The sequence below is a fragment of the Homo sapiens genome, chromosome 5 (assembly GCF_000001405.40).
Source record: "Homo sapiens chromosome 5, GRCh38.p14 Primary Assembly".
Taxonomy (NCBI): Eukaryota; Metazoa; Chordata; class Mammalia; order Primates; family Hominidae; genus Homo; species Homo sapiens.
Window position 1 is genome coordinate 65,699,180 of NC_000005.10, and position 12,175 is coordinate 65,711,354.

Genomic DNA, 12,175 nt, shown 5'->3' on the forward strand with positions numbered 1-12,175 from the left:
TATACTATGGAATACTACTCAGCCACAAAAAAGAACAAGATAATGTCTTTTGCAGCAAGTTGGATGGAGCTGGAGATCATAACTCTAAGTGAAATAACTCAGGAATGGAAAACCAAATGTTGTGTATTCTCACTTATAAGTAGGAGCTAAGCTATTGGTACACAAAGGCATACAGAGTAGTATAATGTACTTTGGAGACTCAGAAGTGGGAGGATGGGAGGGAGATGAGAGATAAAAAACTACATGTTGGGTACAATGTACACTACTCGGGTGATAGTTTCACTAAAATCTCAGACTTCACCACTATACAATTCATCCGTGTAACCAAAAACCACATGTACCCCCAAAGCTACTGAAATACATATATATTTTTAAAAGAGTCTGGGTTCAGAACCCCTGCTCTTAACCACTTCTCTATTATAGTTCCAGTAGTTGACTGGTTTGTTTGGTTTTTGTTTTTGCTTTTTAGTAGAGACAGGATTTCATCACATTGGCCAGGAACTGCGAACCTCAAGTGATCCATCCGCCTCAGCCTTCCAAAGTGCTGGGATTATAGGCGTGAGCCACTGCACCCAGCCAACTTGTTATTGATATAAGATATGGTACTCTTCTCAAGTTTGTGGATAACATGAAAATGGGAGTAAGAGCAAATTCATTACTTTACAGATTACTTATCAAAAAAGCTTTAAAAGACAAATAAATAGAAGATTATAACAAGATAGAATTTGATAGGGGCAAAACTTAAGAGCCTGCATTTGAGTATAAGCAACCAATTGTTCCTCCAGTGGCAGTGCTAGTGCATAGCAGGTATTTGGTAAAAACCTGTCAAATATATATACGATTGAGTTATATGATAGAATCTATGAAAAAAGAGGGATGTAATATACCAAAAGCAAAATATGAACTTAACAAATAATGCTAGAATATGCTGATATATAGTTATGCTATCTAGAAAGTAGGTTAAATGAGAGTCTTACAAGACTGTTGGTCTAGTTAGACTAATGCCAGGTATACTGTCTTATCTTCTGGGAACTATATCTAACAGACAGAGGTAAACTGGAACAAGTTTCAAGTGAAGGTACAGGACTTAAAGCTGTACTACCTGAAGTTTAACAGAAGAAATTTCAAACATTGAATGTGGAGAAAAGAAAAGTGAACATGGTAGCAAATTTTAAAATGTAAGGTACTGTCATGAAAAAGAAGAATGAGCCGGGTGCGGTGGCTCATGCCTGTAATCCCAGCACTTTGGGAGGCCGAGGCGGGTGGATCACGAGGTCAGGAGATCGAGACCATCCTGGCTAACCTGGCTAACGTGGTGAAACCCCATCTCTACTAAAAAAAATACAAAAAAATTAGCCACGCGTGGTGGTGGGCGCCTGTAGTCCCAGCCACTTGGGAGGCTGAGGCAGGAGAATGGCGTGAACCCGGGAGGCGGAGCTTGCAGTGAGCCAAGATCGCGCCACTGCACTCCAGCCTGGGCGACAGAGTGAGACTCTGTCTCCCAAAAAAAAAAAAAAAAGAAAGAAAGAAAAGAAAAAGAAGAATCATGGCTGGGCGTGGTTGCTCAGACCTCTAATCCCAGCACTTTGGGAGGCTGAGGCAGGTAGATCACTTGAGGTCAGGAGTTCAACTCTGGCCTGCCCAAGATGGTGAAACCCCATCTCTACTAAAAATACAAAAATTAGCCTGGAGTGGTGGCACATGCCTGTAGTCCCAGCTACCTGGGAAACTGAGACAGGAGAATCACTTGAACCTGGGAGGCGGAGGTTGCAGTGAACCAATATCCTGCCACTGCACTCCAGCCTGGGCAACAGAGCAAGACTCCGTCTCAAAAAAAAAAAAAAAAAAAAAAAAAAGAATCATAATTATTCCGGAATTACCCTTAACTAAAACCAACCGACAGAAGCTACAGGAGTTATAGGAAAACAAATTCAGTGTCAATATAAGGAAGACCTTTCTAACAGATATAACCTAACCACAAAAGAAAAGGTAGGGGAGGAGAGTGCTATCTCAGAAAGGTGTGACTACCCTAAATATGATAATAATGAGTTTATGAAATATTGGATCAAGTTAACTTAAAGATCTCTTTCAAACCTAAGAACCTACTATAAAATAAAAGGTGATAAGGCCGTTATAACAAGTTTCGAATGGGTTAAAATAGTAATGCCAGTAACCAAAACAGACTTGAGATGATAAAATTTAAATGAAAGGAAAAATAAGAAAATAGAAGTTATTTGTCAAGTCTGTAAATGGGGAGAGCTTTAAGTCTAAAAGCACTGGAATAAAATTCAAAGGAAAAGAAAAATTGGACTACATAAATTTTTAAAACTTTTACATATGAAAAACATTAAAAGGCAAATAAGACACACGGATTTTTGTTCTATATCTTTAATATAGGGCTCTGCTGTCTGATATAGCAGCCATAAGCCATATGTGGCTATTTAAATTAAATTTTTTTTTTTTTTTTTTTTGAGACAGAGTCTCACTCTGTCGCCCAGGCTGGAGTGCAGTGGCGCCATCTTGGCTTTCTACAAGCTCCGCCTCCAGGGTTCACACCATTCTCCTGCCTCAGCCTCCTGAGTAGCTGGGACTACAGGCGCCTGCCACCATGCCCGGCTAATTCCTTTGAATTTTTAGTAGAGACAGGGTTTCACTGTGTTAGCCAGGATGGTCTCGATCTCCTGACCTCGTGATCCGCCCGCGTCGGCGTCCCAAAGTGCTGGGATTACAGGCGTGGGCCACTGCGCCCGGCCTAAATTAATTTTAAATTGATTTAGACATTAAAAATTTAGTTCCTCAATTGCTCTCTAGCCACATTTCAAGTGCTCAACAGCCACTGTGGCTAGTGGCAACTGAGTTGGACAGTACAGATATAGAACATTTCGATCACTGTAGAAAGTTCTACTGGAACTTCAAAATTTAAAACAGAATAATTTAATTCAGGGAATTTATTACATAAGGTGGCAGAAGAGCTGAGAGGCCAAACAGGGTTGTACAGCAATCCAGAAATTCACAACAGGAAGCCACTACCATCCCTAAGACTGAAGGACAAAGTACAAAGTCCAATACCGAAGGTCCCCTGGCAAAGACCAAAACAACAGTATGTGTCTCGGGTGGAAGTAGGAAGACAAGGATGAGAAGCAGCCCCTGCTGAATATACACCATGATGTTAAAAAATAAAATTAAATTAAAAAGCAGAAAGAAATACCTAGACTTCTCTCTTCCTTCTACCCTTCAAATCTCCTGCCAGTACCTCCATGGCTGAACCCATACAAAAGCCAGATGGTAAAAGAGACTGGGAAATGCAGCCTATAGGGTTCAGACCCGTGTTAAAAAGGACAGAGCCAAGAAAGAGGAAGAAAGAAGTCTGGGGTCAAACAAGCTAAGAACTGGTAGGGGTACTCCTCCTGCTGTGTCCTCACATGGCAAGAGGGACAGGGGAGCTCTCCAGAGTCTCTTTCATAAAGGTACTAATCCTCGCCTCATAACCTAATCACCTTCCAAAGGTTCCACCTCCAAATACCATCACATTGGAGATTGGGTGTAAAATTCACATTAGTATATGAATTTTAAGGGGATAGAAACATTCAGTCTATAGAAGGTATAAATAGAAAATTTAGGAAAAAACAAATAAAAATGGCCAACATTTGAAAAATATCCAACCTCACCAGTATTTAAATATAAATTAGAACAATATGAAAACAAAATTAAATTAGCAATAATTAATCATTTGCATACTTAGTGCTGATCAAGGGTGTAGCCAAAACAGATACATTCCTAGGGAGAGAATTTTCAAAATATTTTCAAAGAAGATGGGACAGTTTTGTAATTTGCATCAACAATTTTAAAAATAATTTGCACTTCTAGATCTACTAAGTGCATTTCCAGGGATAAATCCAAAGTCCAGAAAATCTAAAGCATGAAAAATATTTTAGAAACAACAGATGTTCATTGCAGCTTTATATGATAATATTGAAAAAAAATGGAAGCAACCTCCATGTCCACCAGTAGGTCAATAGGTAAGTAAACTAAGGTATGTCTATCTCCCTATTCAAAAATAACCCTTGCTGAGTACTTCTTTGCTAGCCACAATGATAGGTGCTGGAAATATAAAAAAGAATAAGCAGTAGTAATAGAGATTAATTTGTAACCATTTAAATAATGCTTATGAAAGACTGCAATAAAATAAGGACATATTTTTGGTAAAACCAGTGAACAAAGGTGAATCTAAAAATGAATAAACTGGACGAGTGTGGTGGCTCATGCTTGTAATTCCAGCACTTTGGGAGGCCAAGGCAGGTGGATCACTTGAAGTCAGGAGTTCAGGACCAGCCTGGCCAACTTGAACAGTGAAACCCCATCTCCACCAAAAAAAACAAAAATACAAAAATTAGCCAGGCATGGTGGTGTGCACCTGTAGTCCACCTGATGTCCCAGCAGAGGCTGAGGTGGGAGAATGACTTGAACTCAGGAGGCAGAGGTTGCAGTGAGCTGAGATCATGCCACTGCACTCCAGCCTGGGTGACAAAGTGAGACCACGTCTCAAAAAAAATAAAAATAAAAATGAATAAATTTAGGCCGGGCGCGGTGGCTCACGCCTGTAATCCCAGCACTTTGGGAGGCTGAGGCAGGCAGATCACGAGGTCAGGGGATCGAGACCATCCTGGCTAACACGGTGAAACCCCATCTCTACTAAAAATACAAAAAAATTAGCCGGGCGTGGTGACAGGCGCCTGTAGTCCCGGCTACTTGGGAGGCTGAGGCAGGAGAAGGGCGTGAACCCGGGAAGCGGAGCTTGCAGTGAGCCGAGATCATGCCACTGCACTCCAGCCTGGGTGACAGTGAGACTCCGTCTCAAAAAAAAAAAAAAAAATAAATAAATAAATAAATAAATAAATTTATGTAAGACAAAATATGCTAACAGATTAATAACAGTGGTTGCCTCTGAGTGGTAAGTTGGTTAAGTTTATTTTTTCTTCCTTCTTTATATTTTTCTGAACTTTCAAAATTTTCTAAATAATTAAGATTTGCATTTTCCTTCAGAGCTATTAATCTAAATGTTTAAGAATTGCAAACCTGCCACAATAGTGCTAGTTTACCTGTTGCAATAGTAAACTGCATTATTGGGATCCAATTCTATTGCCTGTGTGTAACAATCCACTGCAGCAGCATAATTTTCTTCTTTCATGTGGTTATTGCCTAAAATAAAGTAACCAGTATGTACAGTAAGTATAATATACATTAAAAACATACACTCTTATAGACACATTTTAATCGTGGAAACTATAATTATATGAAAGTCGGCCTCATGATTTTTCAGTCACACTGGAAAAAATTTTACATTGTACTATAGAGTTGATATTATTTAGCTTTCAGTGTGTTTGAATCATTTTAACAATGCAAAGTCTTTTAAAAAATTAATGTTTATATACCTTATAAAATCCAGACTTAAAAGAGTAAATGCAACAATTATGACTATCTCATGGCAAAAGTGAATCTCTTCTCACCTTCCTTATCTTCATCTCTCTCCTCCCTTTTAGAGCTGCCCCAGCCCGTTCCAGATGCAACACCCTCCCTAATCACCATCTCAATCTGGACCTGGTCTTCCACTCTTTCCCTGTTAAAACACACATCTGCTGATAATCAAGTTCTCAGAACACTGCTGAGGATAAGCTGATAAAACTAATCATGCTATCATGATAGTGGCAGATAATATTTTTATGTGCTATCCCTTCCAGAGTTAGACTCTTTTTAAAAGGGGATTTAAAGAGATTAATTTCTAGAAAGAGAATTTCAGATACCATGGCTAGCCTGCAAAGTACTGATTTTCAGGAAGGGCATCTGCAGATACATCTGGCAGTAATTTAGCTAAGTTAATAAAATGTCAGCAAAATAAGAGATTTCCTATGGGTATTTTTTGTATACCATTAAATGAAAAAGTAGTGTCCTCTGCACTTGTAAGAACCAATGGTTCAAAATATGTCTGGGCGTGGTGGCTTATGCCTGTAATCCCAACACTTTGGGAAGTGAAGGTGGGAGGATCACTTGAGGCCAGGAGTTCGAGTCCAGCCTGGGCAATATAGTGGGACCCCCCCTCATCTCAACAAAAAGAATAATTAAAAAAATTAGCCAGGCGCAGTGGTACACACTTGTAGTCCCAGCTACTTGGAGGCTGAAGCAGGAATATCACATAAACTCAGGAGGTTGAAGCTGCAGTGAGCCATGATTGTGCCACTGCATTCCAGCATGGGTGACAGAGTGAAACCCTGTCTTTAAAAAAAAAGAAAAAGAAAAAGAAAATATTAGAAACAATGGAGATTAGGAGGAATGATTTACATCTCAAAGGTATCTGTGATTCTTTCCAGTTTTCTTAAACCAGAAACTCTCACATTAGCCTTGTTCTTAATAGATCATTAGCTGCTTAACAGGAAGAGTGGGGCATAAATTTCCAAGGAACAAAAACAGAATATTCAAATTACTGTAAATTAGGAATCAAAAATGAATATAAAGGGTGACTGCTAATAAGCACATGGTTTTTGTTTGGGGGGTTATAAAAATGTTCTGTAGGCCGGGTATGATGGCTCATCCTTGTAATCCCAGCACTTTGGGAGGGCAAGGCAGGAGTATGGCTTGAGCCCAGAAATTAGAAACCAGCCTGGGCAACATGGTGAAACCCTATCTCTACAAAAAAAAAAAAAAACACAAAAATTAGCTGGGGTGGTGGTGTGTGCCTGTAGTCCCAGCTACTCAGGAGGCTGAAGTGGGAGGATTGCTTGAGCCCAAGAGGTTGAGGCTGCAGTGATCTGTACTGTTGCCACTGCAATCCACCCTGGTCGAAAGAGTGAGACCCTGTCTCAAGAAAAAAAAAAATTTCTATAATTGATTATGGTAATGGCTGCACAACTCTGTGAATATATGAGAAACTAATGCATTGTACCCTTTAAAGAAGTAAATTGTATGACATATGAATTATATCGCAACAAATATCTTTTCAAGTTAAAAAAATTAATTTGGATCTTCCCCAAAAAAGAAATCAATAGAAAGCCTCTAAGGAAACTGAGAGGTTAACATTGTTTTTTATGAAGAAACAAAAAGTTTATATTAGCAAAGATAGTTTGATTTCCATGTCAAACATTTTAATTTTCTGGGTTATTGAGACTTTGATGTTGCTGTTGGGCTCTTTGTCTTGATGGCATTTTATGATTACATTATAAAACTGTACTGTATGTCTTTTCCTGTGTCACCTCAAAGGTGTAGATATCATAATGTATATATACATACCACAAATATTATACACATATATACTATAAGTTAATGATAAAAGGCTTAACATATTTAACATATAAAATACTTAACATATAAAAATTCAGGGTTGGGTGTGGTGGCGCACATCTGTAATCCTGGCACTTTGGGAGGCCGAGGTGGGTGGATCACCTGAGGTCAGGAGTTTGAGACCAGCCTGGCCAACATAGTGAAACTCCATCTCTATTAAAAATACAAAAATTAGCTGGGCGTGGTGGCACATGCCTGTAGTCCCAGCTACTCGGGAGGCTGAGGCAGGAAAATCACTTGAACCTGGGAGGCAGAGGTTGCAGTGAGCCAAGATTGCACCACTGCACTCCAGCCTGGGCGACAGAGCCAGACTCCATCTCAAAAAAGGAACAAAGTAGCAAAAATAAATATTGACAAAAATATCAAAGACAGTGTTATTTAGGATTACAAAATTATCTGTCTAGGTAAGTAAGACATGCTCAAACAGTATCATGTAACACTACACAGCCATTAAAAACAGTGATATAGGCCAGGCGTGGTGGCTCAAGCCTGTAATCTCAGCACTTTGGGAAGCTGAGGTGGGCGGATCACATGAGGTCAGTAGTTCAAAACCAGCCTGGCCAACATGGTGAAACCTCATCTCTACTAAAAATACAAAAAAATTCACCAGGCGTGGTGGCACGCGCCTATGATCCCAGCTACTCGGGAGGCTGAGGCAGGAGAATTGCATGAACCCAGGAAGCAGAGGTTGCAGTGAGCCGAGATCCTGCCACTGCACTCCAGCCGAGGTGGCAGAGAGACTCTGTCTCAAAAAAAACAAAACAAAAGCAAAAACCACAGTGATATAGGTATATATTTACAGACCTAGAGAAATGACCATGCCCAAGGAATAGGAACAGTATAATTGTTTCATATCCACCTTTTTAGATACCAGCTGATTTTATACACACACACACACACACACACACACACACACACACACACATATATTTTTTTTTTTTTGAGATGGAGTCTCCCTCTGTTGCCAGGTTGGAGTACAGTGGCGTGATCTCGGCTCACTGCAACCTCCGCCTGCCGGGTTCAAGCAATTCTCCTGCCTCATCCTTCTGAGTAGCTGGGATTACAGGCACATACCACCATGCCCAGCTAATTTTTGTATTTTTAGTAGAGACGGGGTTTCACCGAGTTGGCCAGGATGGTCTTGATCTCCTGACCTTGTGATCCACCCACCTCGGCCTCCCAAAGTGCTGGGATTACAGGTGTAGACCACCGTGCCCGGCCATGATATATATTTTTTTAACTCAACTGCCTTCTTCAAGGTATGAAATAAAGAAAAGGCTAGAAAATGTTTCTGAACATAGCATATTCCCTAGTAACCCTCTGTCTATATATAGAACAGAGGATTTATTGGCTGTCACTCACTGCTAAAGATAAGGACTATACCCTAAAGCTTTGTAGTACAAATCTTACAGGCCTCACCTGGCTCCCGTCTATAGCTTAACATAGCTGACATAATGGAAAAATGGAACACAAATCCTCAACAGTGACTTATTTCTTAAAACCAAGAATGCTTCAATAGCCAACTAGTATAAAATTTAATAATGTAGTAATCAAAAGTGCTAGCTAATAAACAAGTACCATGTGCCTACCTTAACAAATTTCAAAGAACTCAAAAACACTAAACATATGAAAGATAAAATAATGCTGAAAACTATTTTCCTCTTTTTAAGTTAAAGAAGAATTTGAGATCCTACAGTATAAGTAGCAAAAACCGAAGCAATTCGCCCTTAAGTTATGTGTTCTGCAACTTTTACAACAGATCTGCTTCTCTTGAAGCAAGCCGTAACTGTACTGCCCACAAGCCATTCTGTACTTCCAGGCTTCTTACCCATCACATTCATTTCTGTTTCGTAATTGCCATGTGCACTTATGACAATCTAGTCTTGGTGGTGTAATCAGAACTATATCAATTGACAGTAATTTCCTCCAGTTTCAGAAAGCTTTACTAAGTAAGTCATTTTTGTATGAAATATTCACCTTCATCTTTTAATTGGTCAGCTTTTCCCACATCTTCAGGCACTGAGTTTGAAAGGGGCAGAACGTCATTCTGAAATTAAATAAAAATCAATGCACTTCCCTTTAGCTACATAAAGAATCATCCTAGAGTACTATAAATAAATAATAAATTACCCACATTTTAAATCATCTGTAACTCCACATCATGAAAACAACTTCCTAAATAATAGTATTAACAAAAATAGGGGAAAAGTCCTCTCATATATTTTTTATTAGAAATATGAATATCTGTGACTGGGCGTGGTGGCTCATGCCTTAATCCCAGCACTTTGGGAGATCAAGGTGGGTGGACAGCTTGAGCTCAGGAGTTCGAGACCAGCCTGGGCAATATGGTGAAACCCCGTCTCTATAGAAAACACAAAAATTAACAAGGTGTGGTGGCATGTGCCTGTAGTCCCAGCTACTTGGGAGGCTGAGGTAGGAGGATGGCTTGAGCCCAGGAGGCAGAGGTTGCAGTGAGCTGAGATCATGGCACTGTACTCCAGCCTGGGCAACAGAGCCAGACCCTGTCTCAAAAAAAAAAAATAAGAATATGAAGAATATGTGAATCAAAGTTTTAAAAAATGTGCATTTCCCATACCTGGCAATCCTGCTTCATAAAAAAAAATGGAATTAGTATGTAAAGAATAGGAATAGAAATATGATCAAGGGATTGTTTATATTAGTGAAAATTTTGGAACAAAATGTCTAATATCCTATCTAAGATATACCCTACTAAGTCAAAATCACAATCTACAAAAAATCATTTATAATATGATATTATATAAATATGTTCACACACACATTAAAAACAGCCTGGAAAGATGTGTATCAGAAGTAAAATTTTAATTTCTTGTATCTTTGCATATTGTCCAGTTTTTTTTTTTTTTTGAGATGGAGTCTCGCTCTTTTGCCAGGCTGAAGTGCAGTGGCATGATCTCGGCTCACTGCAATCTGCGCCTCCCAGGTTCAAGAAATTCTCATGCCTCAGCCTCCCGAGTAGCTGGGACTACAGGTGCATGCCACCACACCCAGCTAATTTTTGTATTTTTCGTAAAGATGGGGTTTTACCATGTTGGCCACAATGGTCTAGATCTCTTGACCTCGTGATCCACCCGCCTCGGCCTCCCAAAGTGCTGGGATTACAGGCATGAGCCACTGCGCCCGGCCGTGTTTTCTTATATTGTAGTAAAATTAATATATGTTCATTGCTTTAAAAAAGTTGGGGCTAGTGTGGTGAGCAGCCACCACACCTGGGTAATTTTTTTATATTGTATAGAGACAGGGTCTCCCTATGTTGCTCAGGATGGTCTCAAACTCCTAGCTTAAGCAATCCTCCCACGTTGGCTTCCCAAAGTGTTGGGATTATAGGCATGAGCCACCATGCCCAGCCCTATGTACTGTAGTATATATCCATCATTACCTTTGTCTTGATTAGAGTTTCTACAAAATTGATAGCTCTACATCAGAAATATATTTTGCAAATTAGACATAAAGATTCACAAGTAAAAAAAATTACTGACAAAGTATATGGGTCTTGTCCTTATTTTTTTTTAAATCATTATCTACTAATCAGTTTTCCCAAGCATAAAATATTGGAATAAAAATATAGAAACAACATGAGAACCTTCCTAAGTAGAGGTCACTGCTTAAAACTGACTGTAGTTACTCAGGATCTAAATATAATTCAAAGACACATTATTGTCCTACAGCACTTGGCTTTAGGGTTCCTTGTATTTTAAATTTTCCAATAAGCCTAGGCACTTTATACATGGGAAAAAGTGATTTGGGGGTCAGAAAAATAGCATATTAAAAAATAGATTATAATCTCTTCTGTCTTCCCAATCCTTCTAAATTATTTGCGAAAATTGCCACTGTTTTATACTTTGAAAACTAATTATCATATTCATTGCATAAATTTGAGCAGTTCACCATGTGGGGGCAAGAGCTACCTATTCTAAATAAAGGGAATGAATCCACTTGATATATAAACATAATTGGAGAAAAAAAATAGAAAAGCAGTATCCTAAAGATAAAATGACCAATATAACAACCAAGTACACTTGGTGAAACAAATAATTTCTTTAATTACAACAATCGTCATGCTATTTCAGGTGAATTTACACTTTCTCTGCCATATTCTGTTAATAAACATATATGGAATGAAGCCATAGCTGTAAAATAGGACTACTAAAGAATTATGAGACCAGGCATGGTGGCTCACGCCTGTAATCCCAGCACTTTGGGAGCCAAGGCGGGCGGATCATGAGGTCAGGAGTTCAACACCAGCCTGCCCAAGATGGGGAAACCCCGCCTCTACTAAAAATACAAAAATTAGCCAGGGCCGGGTGTGGTGGCGGGTGCCTGTAATCCCAGCTATTCGGGAGGCTGAGGCAGGAGAATCACTTGAAACTGGCAGGCAGAAGTTGCAGTCAGCTGAGATCATGCCACTGCATTCTAGCCTGCGCAACAGGACAAGACTCTGTCTCAAAAAAAAAAAAAAAAAAAAATAGCCAGGCGTGGTGGCACGTGCCTGGAGTCCCAGCTACTCGGGAGGCTAAGGCAGAAGAATCGCTTGAACCCAGGAGGCAGAGGCTACAGTGAGCTGAGATCGCACCACTGCATTCCAGCCTGGGCGACAGGGCGAGACTCCATCTCAAAAAAAAAGAAATATGATACCACATATATAACACAACTGAAGATATACTAGGCAGCCAGTTTCAATAAACTGTATTTTAACGATAGTGAGCAACAAATTTCTTATAATTAAATGCAATCAGGGAGATACAGCAAAAGAAAGAAAAAGCTTTATTCAAACAGAGGGTAAAAGTCAATTAGAGTTTCCTGA

General features: G+C 39.5%; 1 protein-coding gene across 3 annotated transcripts in view, besides 1 other annotated feature; it reads right to left on the bottom strand.

Moving 5' to 3' along the window:
* Positions 1 to 12,175, bottom strand: part of SGTB (small glutamine rich tetratricopeptide repeat co-chaperone beta) — a 57,086-nt gene that overhangs the window by 33,252 nt on the left and 11,659 nt on the right. For 2 of the 3 annotated variants that reach the window (XM_005248548.4, NM_019072.3), the window contains exons 4-5: positions 9,310 to 9,379; positions 5,100 to 5,199 (exon numbers count right to left, since the gene is read on the bottom strand). In XM_005248548.4, coding sequence (XP_005248605.1) covers positions 5,100 to 5,199; positions 9,310 to 9,379 — 170 coding nt within the window. Of the gene's footprint in view, positions 1 to 5,099; positions 5,200 to 5,507; positions 5,618 to 9,309; positions 9,380 to 12,175 lie in introns of all 3 variants that reach the window. The other variant, XM_047417334.1, reaches the window with a different exon arrangement.
* Positions 314 to 383: an enhancer, noted in NCBI's record as "active region_22609". NCBI's record gives its function as "activates an Ori minimal core promoter by ATAC-STARR-seq in GM12878 lymphoblastoid cells {active_cell/tissue: GM12878}" and the evidence as "EXISTENCE:reporter gene assay evidence [ECO:0000049][PMID:35858748]".